The sequence below is a fragment of the Homo sapiens genome, chromosome 3, assembly GCF_000001405.40.
Source record: "Homo sapiens chromosome 3, GRCh38.p14 Primary Assembly".
NCBI classification, from domain to species: Eukaryota; Metazoa; Chordata; class Mammalia; order Primates; family Hominidae; genus Homo; species Homo sapiens.
The window spans coordinates 4,302,116-4,317,371 of NC_000003.12; the positions used below are offsets into that span (position 1 = coordinate 4,302,116).

A 15,256-nucleotide genomic window follows, 5' to 3' on the forward strand; every position below is an offset into this window, starting at 1 on the left:
TCTGAGACAGGTCTCAATTTAGAAAGTTTATTTTCCCAAGCTTAAGAATGCGCCCCCAACATAGCCTCAGGCAGTCCTGATGACATGTGCCCAAGGTGGTTGGGATACAGCTTACTCTCACACATTTTAGGGAGACATAATACATCAATCAATACATGTAAGATTGGTTGGATCTGGAAAGGCAGACAACGAGAAGCGGGTGAGGGGTGGCTTCCAGGTCATAGGTAGATTTAAAGATTTTCTGATTGGCAACTGGTTATTATCTAAAGACCTAAAATCAATAGAAACGAATGTCTGGGTTGCAATAAGAGGTTGTGGATACCAAATTTGATCGTGGAGATGAAGCCTCCAAGAGGTAAATTTCAGAGAACAGATTGTAAATGTTTCTTATCAGACTTAAGGTGTGTGTTGATGTTGATGCTGGCTGGCTTTTCCTGAATTCCAAAAGGAAGAAGGGCATAATGAGGCATGTTGGACCCCCCTTCCCATCATGGCCTGAACCACTTTCTCAGGTTAACCTTGGCAGAGAGGAGGGGTCCCTTCAGATGGTTTGGAGGATTGGAATTTTATTTTTGGTTTACAGTTTCAAGGAGAAGCAGGACAATCATGTCAGAGAGCTTCAGTGAGGTTGAAAATGCTCCACCGGATTCAGCAGTCTTGAGGCTATCAGAATCCTTTGGCAGGGCAGGGGTTTGGAGGGGTGAGGGTAGAGGGATGGAGAGGAGGGAAAAGGACAGGCAAAGGGGCACGGATACCTCCATCAGGGAGTGAGCATGCCCCCACACAAATTCCTTAAGGCACCCTGTGAGGCTATCGCCTTGGCACAAACCCTATCACATGTCAGTCAACTTCCCGGCAAGCCGCAGACCTTTAGAAACCTTGGTGTGCGTTTCCCCGCTCGGTTTAGAACGCACCCCTGCCTCCACTCCACAAACGTGCAGTGAGCCCTCAAAAACCTGGACAAATGACCTCACCTCGAAAGCCCCCTCTCTGATGCTCCCAGGAAAAACTAAAGCACCTCACTTTGTTTCGTCCGTACCTTACATGGTTTTGTAATTATCTGTGGTGCCTCTGGCTGAAATCAAAACGGGAGCCAGACCCAAAAAGTCAAGGAAGGGAAGCGCCTTCCAGGCCACTCCTGAGAAGAAACGAACTACAATTCCCATGAGGCGGTGGGGCCACGGGACCACAAGTCCCAGCATCCACCGCGCGGCCCAGGACTGTCAGGGTAGTGGGCGTTGCGTGAGGCGGGTAAATGTTCGCGGAAGCGGCAAAGACGACACGGCCTTGTGGGATGGCGGAGTTTAAGGAGAAGCCTGAGGCCCCGACTGAGCAGCTGGATGTCGCGTGCGGCCAGGAAAACTTGCCGGTGGGCGCGTGGCCCCCGGGGGCCGCGCCGGCGCCCTTCCAGGTAGGGGCGGGGCCAGGCGGCGCGGGAGGCGGGCGCGCGGCTCCCCCACGTGGTCTCCTCAAGCCGCCTCGCTGGGACGGCCTCCCAGTCGCGACCTTTTGTCTTCTCTTACAGCGCACCCGTTGGTGCGCGGGAATAGGTGTGCATGCCCCGGCCTGGGCCTTTTTCTGTTGACCCACGGCATCACCTTAGCAAGGGTGTTGTCCTTTTCAGTCCATTCCCTGAAGCGCAGAACCGGAGGCCTTGTGAGAACCTGGCTTTTTGTCCAGTCCTGTCCTCAGAACTCAAGGAGGCATCACGGGGGGAGTCATTTACCTCCCTGGTCTCAGGTGTCTCTCACAGGTAGGATAAGCCGTGGGGCCTATTAATGGATCGCAGCCGGTGTCGTGCATAAAAACAGCCCCTCGAGTCAGCCTTAGCTGTGGTCTCCCTCACGCTGTGGGCTCTTGGGCGAGTGTAAATTAGCTGTGGCTCAGCCTTAGAGTCTTCCAGCGTACAGTGGAACAGTACCTCTCTTCCGGAGTGCTTTGAAAATGGCAAGGAAAATACACTTTCCGGTTTGCTGTAAGAACTCAGTAAATGTTTGCTTCTATTAACTACCTCAAAGCCCTTTCTACTCTCCTTTTTCTTTTTGAGACTGAGTCTCGCTCTGTCGCCCAGGCTGGAGTGCACTGGCGCGATCTCGGCCCACCGCAACCTCCACCTCCCGGGTTCAAGCGATTCTCCTGCCTCAGCCTCCCGAGTAGCTGGGATTACAGGCATGGGCCACCACGCCCGGCTAATTTTTGTATTTTTAGTAGAGACAGGGTTTCTCCATGTTGGTCAGGCTGGTCTCGAACTCCCAACCTCAGGTGATCCGCCCGCCTCGGCCTCCCAAAATGCTGGGATTACAGGCATGAGCCACGCTCCCAGCCTCTACTGACTTTCTTATCCCTCCGACCTTGGCCTGAGCGTTACCCAAGGAATAAGGAATGACCAAAGATTTTGAAGTGGAAAGAGCGCTGGACGTGGAAGTTGGAGAGTATGGTTCGGAGCTTAGACATCTTAGCTACTTCCCAGAGCCTGAGTTTCTTCATCTGCAAAATGAAAATAATAATTTAAAAATGCATAGCCCCTTTAACATCCATTATCAACAATGAACCCTATCTGCCCTTTCTTTTTCCTAGGGGTTTTTGTGAGGATCAGATAAGATAAGAGATTCAATAGCAGCTTTCAAAGATGTCAAGGAAAAGAATCAAACTCTAAAATATTTGAAGAGATTTATTCTGAGCCAAATATGAGTGACCATGGCCTGTGACACAGCCCTCAGGAGATGCTGAGAACATGTGTCCCAGGTGGTTAGGGCACAGCCTGGTTTTATACATGTTTGGGAGAGAGGAGACGTCAATCAAATACATTTAACATGTACATGGGTTTGGTTCAGAAGGCGGGGCAACTCAAAGTGGTGGGGGGGGCTTCCAGACTATAGGTAGATTTTAATTTTTCTGGTTAACAATTTTTCTGGTTAACAATTGGTTGAGTTTGTCTGAAGACCTGGGATCAATAGAAATGTTTAGGTTAAGATAAAGGGTTTTTTTTTGAGACGGAGCTTGACTCCATCACCCAGGCTAGAGTGTGGTGGTGCGATCAGCTCACTGCAACCTCCGCCTCCCAGGTTCAAGCGATTCTTCCACCTCAGCTTCCCGAGTAGCTGGAATTACAGGCGCCTACAACCACGCCCAGCTGATTTTTGTATTTTTAGTAGAGACAGGGTTTTACCATGTTGCCCAGGCTGGTCTCAAACTCCTGACCTCAAGTGATCCACCCACCTGGGCCTCCCAAAGTGCTGGGATTACAGACGTGAGCCACCGCACCCGGCCATGTAGAGACCCAAGTTTTAATTGTGGGGAGGAGACTCCCAGCTGACTTCAGAGGGAGCAGGTTGTAAAATGTTTCTTATCTAACTTAAAAAGGTGCCTCGGTCTTAGTTGATTATCTCCTTGTTGTGGAAAGAAAGAAAAAGAGGGGGAAAGGGGATTCTCTATAGAATGTGGATTTTTCCCACAAGAGACAACCCTCCAGGGCAATTTCAAGATATGGCAAGGAAATATATTTGGGGTTAAAATATTTTGATTTCTTCCCTTATTTGTTATTTGATGTTATGCCAGAGTCAGGTAGAAAGCAGACCATGCTATATAGGGTTAAAATTAAAACTCCTCTGATGAGACTTTATGGTTTGTAAGGCATGACTCCCCAGGTGCCTTGGGTAGGAATTTGGGCAAGATAAGAAAAAATCAGAGTTTAGTCCTCAAAGAGTAGAATAAGATATTAATGTCAGAAATTATTATTGTTCCCCAGACTACCTTTGGCAATTTATAGTTAATAATACAGTTAGCTGGCCCAATATTAAACAGTGGTCCCTGAAAACTTAGGACTAAGCATTGCTGAGTTCCTGGTCAAAAACACTGATTTAAAAAACCACTGTTCTAGTCCATTCTTAATTCAACAAATATTTATTGAGAGCTAAATATATGCAAGGTGGTGGGTTGGGCTGCAAAGAATACAACAAACAGAAAAACGCACTCTACCCTCAAGGTGTTTACAACTGTCACGATTAGCTTCAATATTCCTGCCGTGCGTGTGTGTGTGCGTTTGAGACTATTCTATAAATCTGTTTCCAATCTTGAGTCATATTTTTCTTTGCCATATCCAAGAACAATCTGTAAAACTATGTGCCCGACGTATTTTTTTAATTAACTCACTTTAAGCGTTAAATTATTTAAAAATAAATTATATAAGTATCTCCCTTAGAATCATTGTAATCATTAATGTCCATAAAATCATGAGGTTTTCTATTTCTCAAAGTGTATATTAAAATAAATACGTCTATTTTTAAAAGGGGAGAAAGGAGTGACAAGAGGAAGCTTTGTGATTGATTGTTACATCTACAGTTGGTGGGCATAAATGAAAATTGGGAGATTAAAACCCAGTCCCACAGTGTTCTAACTATCTCTGTATATGCACAGCTCCCAATAAAGTTAGAGTTACAAAAATAAGACAGGATGCCTTCCTAAGAGAGCTTATTGTCTTTCTTACCAAGAAGATCAAACATGCTTGAAACATTTAAGTGACAAGCCTAAAAGTGCATTCAACTCGTTTTCTTCCATGTATTCATGGAACACAAAACCAGTCTTATAAAAGGTCAAAACAGCTTGCTTGCTCCAAACCCTGCCTTCACAGGCATATGCACACATAAGAATTAAGGCATGAAAAACTTTCAAGATAAAAATAACTTTGTGTCTGTTTTGCCTTTGGCTACTGTGTGAAAAGGCAAAAAGAAATTCAAATGTTCATATTGGAAACAAGCATATCATAATGTCATCAGTGTTGAAAGCCAAGTAGAAAATAAACTAATTGATTTTATTGAGCTAACAGTTGGATCTAACCATTTTTCAGGTCTCTGAAACCAGCTTCAAACATTATTTTTAGATCTCAACAGGCCTTGACAAGAATTATCTGGCTCACAGTCTTCTAATAGCTGCTTGGAGGAAAAACAAACTTATGAGGCTAGAGGCCAAGTACAAAGATTCTTGTAGCTGGGGTTTCAACACAACCAAAAAAGGAATGAAGATTTTCACAACACTTCTTTATAATTCAGAGGCCCAGGTTTTAAGCCTAGAATGTTACAGTATCATACTTCAGTTTCTGGGTCTTCAGTACGGAATGTGATTCAGAAAAGTCAAACTTCTCGTTAACAAGTATCAAGAGCTGCAATCTGGCAATCGAAAAATGCTTCTTGAGCACCTGCTGTGTGCCTTGTCCTATGGATAGGAACCCCACCCCCATCACCATGCCACACTCGAAACCTCATAACCATGCTTTTCCCTGAGACACGTATCTGTTAGAAAGGTAAGACCTACACATTTAACACAATTAGAGAGCCCTACAATCTGTGTCATTTAGACCCTGAAGTTCATGCTATTAACAGTAAATGTAAGTCTAGTTCAGAGAAGAAAGAAATTGTTGCAGACAGGAATAGCCAAGACAAGAGTGTATTTTCTCTTAAGTTTTCTGTCAAAAAACTTGAAATCTTCACCCAGTGCTTCAAGGATCTGATTTCCAGTATATCATTTTGCCGTGATTGTTTTGCATTTATTCCTAGCTCTTGCATGAGTAATTCTGTGCTTTGATACATACGAAGAAAAAGTAAAACTTACATTGTAACAATGCAGGAAATTTAAAAAATCCCAGCCAGGCATGGTGGCTCACTCCCATAATCCCAACCCTTTTGGAGGCCAAGGCGGGAGAATCACTTGAAGTCAGGAGTTTAAGACCACCCTTAACAAAGGGCAACAAAGTGAGACCCCATCTCTACAAAAACATTTTATTTTAAATTAACCAGACATGGTGGTGCATGCCTGTAGTCCCACCTACTTGGGAGGCTGACCTTGAGCCCAGCAGTTGGAGCCTGCAGTGAGCTATGATCATGCCATTGCACTCCAGACTGGGCAGCAACGTCTTAAAAAAAAAAAATCCCATTCTCCGTGTCCTTTATACTTTTCTGACTGTTTCTAAATCCCAGTATGTGCATATTGCAGACAGTAAGGTAATACTTGATAACTGAAAGAAGTCTAGTCTGGATCAGCTCTTAGCTTTTCTCCACTCAAATGGAGAAGTAATGGAGGAAAGGTATACAGTCCGATGGCTTCCTAGACACAATTTTGGTTTGAATATGTTTGAACCTGGAAAGTTTAACTCCAGAACTTATTTTCTTCACTACCCTACTATGCACTACCTGCAAAATTTTTATTGAACACGTACATGCTAATCCCTAGAGTAAGCTTTTTAAGCCAGTTCTGTCATGTTTTCTTTCACAGAAACCTATGAAATAAATAAGATGTTTAGTAATGTAAAGTAATTTGCCAGAAACATATGTTGTTTTAAATATAACATCTAAAAGTAATATCTAGAAGAATTGAAAGAAGCCAATATTTTTATAAAGTGCCTGACATGGAGTACAGCATTATTTCATTAAAATTTCATGATAGCCACCCCAAATGTGGGTATTATCCTTGTCTTATAGCTACTAATCTGAAGCCTAGCCAGTCACTTGTCCAGAATCACAATGCTAATAAGAGCCTGGCTGTGGTTTGTGTCTCCTTTAGAGCATTCCATGTTCTGCACTAGGAAGCTCTCCACTGCTTCCTCACAGTTCAAGACCATAGTCACAGAGTTTTCCTGCCTGGTCTGCACACTTTGCTCTAGTCTAACCTCCTAATTGAAGACATCTTTGTTCATTGACCATTTACGCCTTTGACTTGTCTATGAAAAGAGTCAAACTCTGCAAAATATTTGAAGAGATTTATTCTGAGCCAAATATGAGTGAGCATGGACCATGACACAGCCATCAGGAGATCCTGAGAACATGTATCCGAAGTGGTTGGGATATGGCTTAGTTTTATACATTTTAGGGAGACATGAGACAACAGTCAAATACATGTAAAACGTACATTGGTTCAGTCCAGAAAGACAGGACAGTTGGAAGCAGAGGCTTCCAGTTTCTGATTAACAGTTTGCTTGAAGGAATTGTTATTGTCTAAAAACTTAGGAATGCCTTGGGTAAGATAAAGGGTTGTGGAGACCAGGGGTTTATTATCATGCAGGTGAAGCCTCCAGGTAGCAGGCTTCAGAGAGAATAGATTGTAAATGTTTTTTATCAGACTTAAAGAGTCTGTTCTATCAGTAATTCCAAAAGGGAAGAGGGTATAATGAGGCATGTCTGACCCCTGCCCCCTTCCCATCATGACCTGAACTAGTTTTTCAGGTTAGCTTTGGAATGCCCTTGCTGAGAGGAGGGGTCCCTTCAGATGATCAGGGGATTTAGAATTTTATTTTTGGTTAACAGAGTACATTTTCTAGCCATTTCCTGAAACCATTCTCAGCTTCTACCCAGGGTGTATCAGTCAGGACTCATTTGTTTGCAAGAAACATAACACAAACTGGCTCCAACAAAAAAGGGAAGGAATTGCCTCAAATCAGAAAAGTCCAAGTGGTAACTATAGGCATGTCTGGACCCAGTAATTCTAAAAGTATTGTCAGATACTTCTTCCCACCACCTTCCCCCTTCACACCCCTGCTTCCCATTTCTGTGGTAGGCTACACACTCAGTAGGCCTCATCTACGTGGCAGAACTTGGAAATGCCAGGCAAACACTACAGTTGAATAATTCTAGTAGAAAGAGAATGCTTCTTCCCTAATTGTTTCAGCAGAAGTCTGGCTTAGGTCATATCAGCTGACTCCCAGTTTGTAACCCACTTTACATTAGCTTTCAGATACAATTATACTTCAGATACAGTTATTATTTAACTATGGGGAAACAGTCTGAGAAATGCATCATTAGACAATTTCGTCATTATGCAAAAGTCATAGAGTGCACAGTACTTACAGAAACCTAGATGGTATAGCCTACTACACACTTAGGCAATATGATAATGCCCTATCACTCCTAGGCTACAAACCTGCACAGAATGTTGCTACACTGAATACTGTAGATACTTGTAACGCAGTGGTGTTTGTGTATCTAAACATAGAAAACATACAGCAAAAATACTGTATTCTAATCTTACAGGACTACCATTGTATATGCATATATGTGGTCTGACCAAAAAGTCATTATGCAGCACATGACTACTCGAAGTTTAACCGCGTGGCATGTAAATATTTGAATAGAATGTTAGGACAATGACCTCACATTATTTCTGAAAATAATAAATAGCTTTTCAATATGTAAATACCTGAAAAGATGGGTAATTACATAATCAGATGTTAAATTAGACTAAAAGTTTTCAAAAGATTATTCTTGAGTGTAGTCATTTTTTAAGTCATTATCATCTGAAATGATATTTTATTGACCTTTTATGGAGGAGAAATGGAAACATGAAGACAAAATGACTCAAAGCAATTATTGGTATCAGGATCAGTGATTATATCCATCACGGGGAAAAAATTTATTTAAACAGGAAATTTTCCCAGAAGTCTCTGTTTTCTTTTGGAAGATATCTGCAGTTCATTCGGAATTAGCTACTGTCTATAAGTCCCTGAAGGATTATAGCTTGTGCAGCAAGTTTAATTGCAGAATTTTAAAAAATATATCATGAGATTCTTCAAAATCTTTTTAAATTTGTAAGTAAAAATAACGAAATAAAACTGTTTTTCACCTGCTTTCCTGATTAGAAAACTGCAGTTGATTTTAAAAGAAGTTATCCATGTCAAAAAAAAAACTTTAGCGTTTAGTGATTTATATAGTACCTTAAAAATATGTGCACCTTTAATGACAAATCAACTTAAAAGTTTAACATGAAAAGTTTAACAAAGAGATCTTCATTTTACAAGTACTTTTTAAAATGTCTCAGTAACCATTTACATTTGAACACTGAACCTTTAAAAAGCTGAAAGTAGATTCTCTATAAAACAGCAGTCGTTGAGTTTGACTGATAGAGCATCATTTTCTAACCTATCCTTTATCCATTTAGGATATTCCTGCTAAGCTAAAGCTGTAAGAAACAACACAAACAAAAGCTATTTCCTCTCTCCACCCCCAAATGACTTTTTAAGCAGAATGTTAGCCTTCTCCCACAGGTCCTCCCACTGGTTGTCCTCCTCATCTTTCACAAGAGGATGTCAATCCTCCCCAGCTCAGAGTTTTTTTTAGTGTAGGGTTTTGCACTTAACTACATAGCTCCACCCGAGGCCTCCACAGGGAGTATAACTATCTGCTGTTCAATACCTTTCTAAAGCCTGGCCTGGAGACAAAATAATAATGGAGGATTGACTGGAAGACGTGGTGCAAACATTCCTTCAGGTGCTTTAAAATCTATCCCCAATGAAAGGCCGTGCAACTGGTTCCTTGCAGAACTGCTCTTACCCGACTGTGCTGTTGTGGGATCCCAGCAGCCTTTACTGGGGACCAGAATAAAAAACAGCCCATGAAACTGCTTCCTGGAAAAGAATGGTTTAGAAGAACACATTGGTGGAATTCCTTCCTGGTATCAGTACTGAAAAAAGTCAATGCCACTTCTGAACAATGAGATTATTCCTTACAGGCAGGGCAAGCTATGTATCTAATCATATATCCTTCTCTGAATTGGCAGCTCTCAGGCAGAGCCAAATATCCAGTCTACTTCTACCACATACTGTGTGTCTAAGCTCACTAGACCTGTTTGTTCTATTTCCCTTTCACCTTACTCTCCTTACTTGTTCATTTATCTTACCTGTTTATAAGTCTCATTAAATCCTTTTAGGAATAAAGCAGGTATAAAATGGTTTGAGTTCTATGTAAGCAAGAATTACTATATACATAAAAAAATCTGCTGGGTTCATGAGAGATACTTTAATCTGAAATCAGTTTGAAAATATGCTTCACGATGCTAATGAGGATCTAACCAGAGATCAGGCTTCACATAGAGTTTAGATTGAGGATTGTCTTCTTTTTATATAACATTTTACAAATGTAATGTTTTGAAAATACAGGTACATTTAAATGACAGATTTTTTTCATATTCCTTTCTTATTTAATTAGAATTTCTTTACAAGTGTATATCTTTAATAAATTTAAATATCTAGTAATATCTATTTAAGAAATAGCATTTTTGGAATTCTGTGTGCAATTGACTTGTCATCTATGACTTTCTTATCCCCAACCAGTATCTGAGGTAACCCACAATTAAAATACATATATGCATGTATATTATCAGGTAAAGGTAAAAGAGATCAAAAGCTAAGGATAAAATGCTTAACTGTACTCAGACACTAAATTCAGCACTGAGTTTTCTGACATCCAAAGATAAGAGGGAAACAAAAGAAGTTACAAAGCTTTCTATTTCTGATAAGAGAAAAAAATAGTATTTTTCTTATTGTCCTTATACATACATAATAATACATATATATGTCCTTATGTGTACCTATATATAACATACTATTATATACATTAAGTATTATAATGCCCAACTCATCCTTATACATACCTAAAATAAAACCACAAATTCTAAAAATTAATCTTAGCTGGACATGGTGGTTCCCACTTGTAGCTGTAGCAGCTAAGGAAGCTGAGGCAGGAGAATCGCTTGAGCCCAGGTTACAGTGAACTGTGATCACAGCACTGCACTCCAGCCTGTGCAACAGAGCAAGACCCTGTCTCTTAAAAAAAAAAAAAAAAAACTTGTTTTATTGAAGAGAGATGTTTTTGGACAATATCTTAGTATGCTGTGTTTTGACAGTTTTGTCCTGTTTTTATATATGTTAGAATTAGAATGGGTCCCAGTCAGAAGCTACTTGGAATATATAGGAAATATATGACATGCCGTGCTGACTTACAGTGTGTATATTTTTTACAGTACACTCCTGATCATGTAGTTGGACCTGGAGCAGACATTGATCCCACTCAAATAACCTTTCCCGGATGCATTTGTGTCAAAACTCCCTGCCTCCCTGGCACTTGCTCCTGTCTCCGCCATGGAGAGAACTATGATGATAACTCATGCCTTAGAGATATAGGATCTGGAGGAAAGTATGCAGAGCCTGTTTTTGAATGCAATGTCCTGTGCCGATGCAGTGACCACTGCAGAAACAGAGTGGTCCAGAAAGGTCTACAGTTCCACTTCCAAGTGTTCAAGACGCATAAAAAAGGCTGGGGACTTCGTACCTTGGAATTTATACCGAAAGGAAGGTTTGTCTGTGAATATGCTGGTGAGGTTTTAGGATTCTCTGAAGTTCAGAGAAGAATTCACTTACAAACAAAATCCGACTCCAATTACATTATAGCCATCAGGGAACATGTTTATAATGGGCAGGTAATGGAAACATTTGTTGACCCTACTTATATAGGAAATATTGGAAGATTCCTTAATCATTCTTGTGAGCCAAACCTTTTGATGATTCCTGTCCGAATTGACTCAATGGTACCTAAGTTGGCACTTTTTGCAGCCAAAGATATTGTGCCAGAAGAAGAACTCTCTTATGATTATTCAGGAAGATATCTTAATCTAACAGTCAGTGAAGACAAAGAAAGGCTAGATCATGGGAAACTAAGGAAACCTTGTTACTGTGGTGCCAAATCATGTACTGCTTTCCTGCCTTTTGACAGTTCTCTGTACTGCCCCGTAGAAAAGTCGAACATCAGTTGTGGAAATGAGAAGGAACCCAGCATGTGTGGCTCAGCCCCTTCTGTGTTCCCCTCCTGCAAGCGATTGACCCTTGAGGTGAGTCTGTTCAGTGATAAGCAGCTTGCCCCTCCCTATAGTGGAAGACAGTGGTTGGCTAGCTTTACCTCTGCCTAGTTACATAAGTTTAACTCAGGAATGTGGCAGAGACTGCAAGTTGTCCATCAGTATCCTTTCCCCTTTCTGTAATAGAATTCTCCATTTAACAAAAGTACATGACTACCCAGAATACTCACTTTCCTAGTTAGATTTGTCTTAGTGACTGTTCTAGTTAATAGGATATAAGCAAAAATGACAAGTCCTTAAATGGAGATATCCTGCCCTTCACCTCCTCTTTCTTCCTGCTGGCTGGAATGTATACATGATGACTGGAACTGGAGCAGTCATCCTAGACCCCAGGATGACCCTGGGAAAGGAAGCCATTGCATAGAAAAATCAACAAGGTTAAAAGGAGTCTAGGTGTCTGGTACTGTAGAACATCCTGTCAGTCGTGATCTGACACCTTTGTACTTTCAGGTGAGAAATAGTCTCTCCCTTGCTTAAGTCACTGTTATTGTAAGTTTTCTAGCACTAACATCGAACCTAATAATGATCCAAGAAACCCTTGTGGCTGCATACCTAAACCCTGCTTGCCAACCAATTTTAACAGTAATAAAGCTGACTTTTTGATTTCTGTCTGACTCCTGCGTCCTACTTAATTGTTTCTAAGCATGGATCAAGGAAAAAGGCATTATTAACTATCACCTGCTAAAACCCTAATAAGTACTACCAGTAGTGAAAAATATAACTATGAAAATGACTTACATGTTGTAACCAAAAGTCAGAAAAAGAGACACATTGTAAATTTTTCATTTTCATTATATACTTGGCTGTACTCCAAATCTTGTGAAGTTATGCTTCAAAACTTCAAACAGCCTCACTTCATGTATAAATAACAGAAAAATAACCCTGTCCACACCACAGAAGGAGACGGGAGTTTTATGATCCCGTTTAAACTTCTAGAGCAGCAAACATCTCTAACTACCTTCCTTAAAGCAGGGATGTTGCAAAAATACAGTTACTGTGGAGGTTTATCAGACATTTTGAAAGCTAAAATAATTACTAGAGCCCCTATGATATTATTAAGTAATTTAATTTCTTCTCTAGTACATTTAAACCCTACCACTAGGAGGCCCTGCACTTTCAACATTATAGGAATCCATGTTATATATAACACTATTCCTCTGTAATATAAGTACATTGTACACTTTAAATGAGTGAAATATACAGCGTGTGAATTATATCTCAATAAAGCTAGGTCGTTTTTAAGTATCTTAGGGTTTATAATGTTCATATAACATTACATGGAATGGTTCCCTGTGAACAAATGGTACTAGAGTACACATAAAATGCCCCAAATTACAAATACATAGTATCAAAAATTTTCCTCCAAATTAATCATTTCTCCATGCCAACTGTCCTCTATTACTTCAATGCCTCTGAAGCAGTCCTGCTTTTAATAAGGCAGCTTGTATCCCTCACTCCAAAATGTGCTTTTTCTTGCTCACAAGCTCACCTAATAACTGAGCTGCTTCAGACGCAATATGGAAGTGGTTAGAAGGAAAATGATTGGCTCACCATTTGATTCTGCAGATACCCTTTTCTATGTCCTTTTGCCTTTCTATATTGAACAGCAGAGATATTCCCAGAGGACAATCTTCCATTCAGAGACAAGGACACAAACAGCCCCCTCCAACTCAGTGCCTCTGCCAGAGACAACTGACTGAATATGGACCCCTGGAAATTTTTTGTCCTCAGGCACTAGTTTATTATATAGCACTTAATCCTAGAAACCAGATTCCTAAGGTAAGAGTCAAAGAGTCTTTATTCCAAGTCTTTTCTAAGCAGCAAGTTAACTGCATTTGTTTGCTTCATTGCCATATTTTTGAGAATGTTGACACTTCTTTTGAGAGAAAACATTTAAAAATATACTTCCACTTGACTATTATCCCATGATAAAATAACATTTTTATAAATTATAAGATTCAAATTTTAAAAGATGGGGCTGGGTGCAGTGGCTCACACCTGTAATCCCAGCACTTTGGGAGGCTGAGGCAGGCAGAACACTTGAGCTTGGGAGTTTGAGACCACCCTGGCCAACATGGTGAAACCCCATCTCTACTAAAAATACAAAAATTAGTTAGATGTGGTGGCACATGTCTGTAGTCCCAGCTACTCAGGAGGCTGAGGTACGAGAATCACTTGAGCCCAGGAGGCAGAGGTTGCAGTGAGCCAAGACTGTACCACTGCACTCCAGCTTGGGTGACAGAGCGAGACTCTGTCTCAAAAAAAAAAAAAAAAAAAAAAGTAACAGTTTTTGCATTGTTGGAATTTGGTATTTGATATTGGAATACATTCTTAAATGTGGTCATGTTATACACCATTTTAATGAGCATTTCTTTATGTTTTTTTGCTAATGACATCTTACTTGCTGTTTATGTTTATTTTAGACTATGAAAATGATGTTAGACAAAAAGCAAATTCGAGCAATTTTCTTATTCGAGTTCAAAATGGGTCGTAAAGCAGCAGAAACAACTCGCAACATCAACAATGCATTTGGCCCAGGAACTGCTAACGAACGTACAGTGCAGTGGTGGTTCAAGAAGTTTTGCAAAGGAGATGAGAGCCTTGAAGATGAGGAGCGTAGTGGCCGGCCATCAGAAGTTGACAACGACCAGTTGAGAGCAATCATCGAAGCTGATCCCCTTACAACTACACGAGAAGTTGCTGAAGAACTCAATGTCAACCATTCTACGGTCGTTCGACATTTGAAGCAAATTGGAAAGGTGAAAAAGCTCGATAAGTGGGTGCCTCATGAGCTGACTGAAAATCAAAAAAATCGTCGTTTTGAAGTGTCATCTTCTCTTATTCTACGCAACCACAACGAACCATTTCTCGATCGGATTGTGACGTGTGATGAAAAGTGGATTTTATATGACAACCGGCGACGATCAGCTCAGTGGTTGGATCAAGAAGAAGCTCCAAAGCACTTCCCAAAGCCAATCTTGCACCCAAAAAAGGTCATGGTCACTATTTGGTGGTCTGCTGCTGGTCTGATCCACTACAGCTTTCTGAATCCCGGTGAAACCATTACATCTGAGAAGTATGCTCAGGAAATCGATGAGATGAACCAAAAACTGCAACGCCTGCAGCTGGCATTGGTCAACAGAAAGGGCCCAATTCTTCTCCACGACAATGCCCGACCGCATGTTGCACAACCCACACTTCAAAAGTTGAATGAATTGGGCTATGAAGTTTTGCCTCATCCACCGTATTCACCTGACCTCTTGCCAACCAACTACCACGTCTTTAAGCATCTCAACAACTTTTTGCAGGGAAAACGCTTCCACAACCAGCAGGATGCAGAAAATGCTTTCCAAGAGTTCGTCGAATCCCAAAGCACGGATTTTTACGCTACAGGAATAAACCAACTTATTTCTCGTTGGCAAAAATGTGTTGATTGTAATGGTTCCTATTTTGATTAATAAAAATGCGTTGAGCCTAGTTATAATGATTTAAAATTCACAGTCCAAAACCGCAGTTAGTTTTGCACCAACCCAATATCTTCATAGATTGAAATATAAATTAAAATTGCATTTGAAGTAGATTC

General features: G+C 40.8%; 2 protein-coding genes across 17 annotated transcripts in view, besides 3 other annotated features; one reads left to right on the forward strand and one right to left on the reverse strand.

Annotated features, from left to right (window-relative positions):
- Positions 1 to 15,256, reverse strand: part of SUMF1 (sulfatase modifying factor 1) — a 432,784-nt gene that overhangs the window by 267,630 nt on the left and 149,898 nt on the right. For 2 of the 7 annotated variants that reach the window (XM_047448024.1, XM_011533625.4), the window contains one exon: positions 14 to 2,487. The exons of 4 other annotated variants lie outside the window; for them this stretch is intronic. In XM_047448024.1, the coding sequence (XP_047303980.1) occupies positions 2,365 to 2,487 (123 nt within the window). In that variant the 3' untranslated portion in view covers positions 14 to 2,364. Of the gene's footprint in view, positions 1 to 13; positions 2,488 to 15,256 lie in introns of those variants that run through there. One more of the 7 variants, XR_007095664.1, reaches the window with a different exon arrangement.
- Positions 851 to 1,593: an enhancer, noted in NCBI's record as "H3K27ac hESC enhancer chr3:4344650-4345392 (GRCh37/hg19 assembly coordinates)". NCBI's record gives its function as "activates a minimal SCP1, AML or CMV promoter by ChIP-STARR-seq in primed H9 embryonic stem cells {active_cell/tissue: H9 hESC(primed)}" and the evidence as "EXISTENCE:reporter gene assay evidence [ECO:0000049][PMID:30033119]".
- Positions 1,192 to 1,531: a silencer, noted in NCBI's record as "silent region_14014". NCBI's record gives its function as "represses an Ori minimal core promoter by ATAC-STARR-seq in GM12878 lymphoblastoid cells {active_cell/tissue: GM12878}" and the evidence as "EXISTENCE:reporter gene assay evidence [ECO:0000049][PMID:35858748]".
- On the forward strand, positions 1,254 to 15,150 carry SETMAR (SET and mariner transposase domain methyltransferase). Of its 10 annotated transcripts, none has more exons than NM_001243723.2 (4): positions 1,254 to 1,411; positions 10,783 to 11,114; positions 11,532 to 11,646; positions 14,097 to 15,150. In NM_001243723.2, exons 1-4 carry the CDS (start codon positions 1,256 to 1,258, stop codon positions 15,129 to 15,131), a joined length of 1,638 nt encoding a protein of 545 aa, NP_001230652.1. In that variant the 5' UTR covers positions 1,254 to 1,255; the 3' UTR covers positions 15,132 to 15,150. The 10 variants fall into 10 exon arrangements, with proteins under 10 accessions (NP_001230652.1, NP_001307606.1, NP_006506.3 ...); NM_001320677.2 differs by having other exon boundaries at positions 11,552 to 11,646; NM_006515.4 differs by having other exon boundaries at positions 10,783 to 11,646.
- Positions 1,622 to 1,691: an enhancer, noted in NCBI's record as "active region_19346". NCBI's record gives its function as "activates an Ori minimal core promoter by ATAC-STARR-seq in GM12878 lymphoblastoid cells {active_cell/tissue: GM12878}" and the evidence as "EXISTENCE:reporter gene assay evidence [ECO:0000049][PMID:35858748]".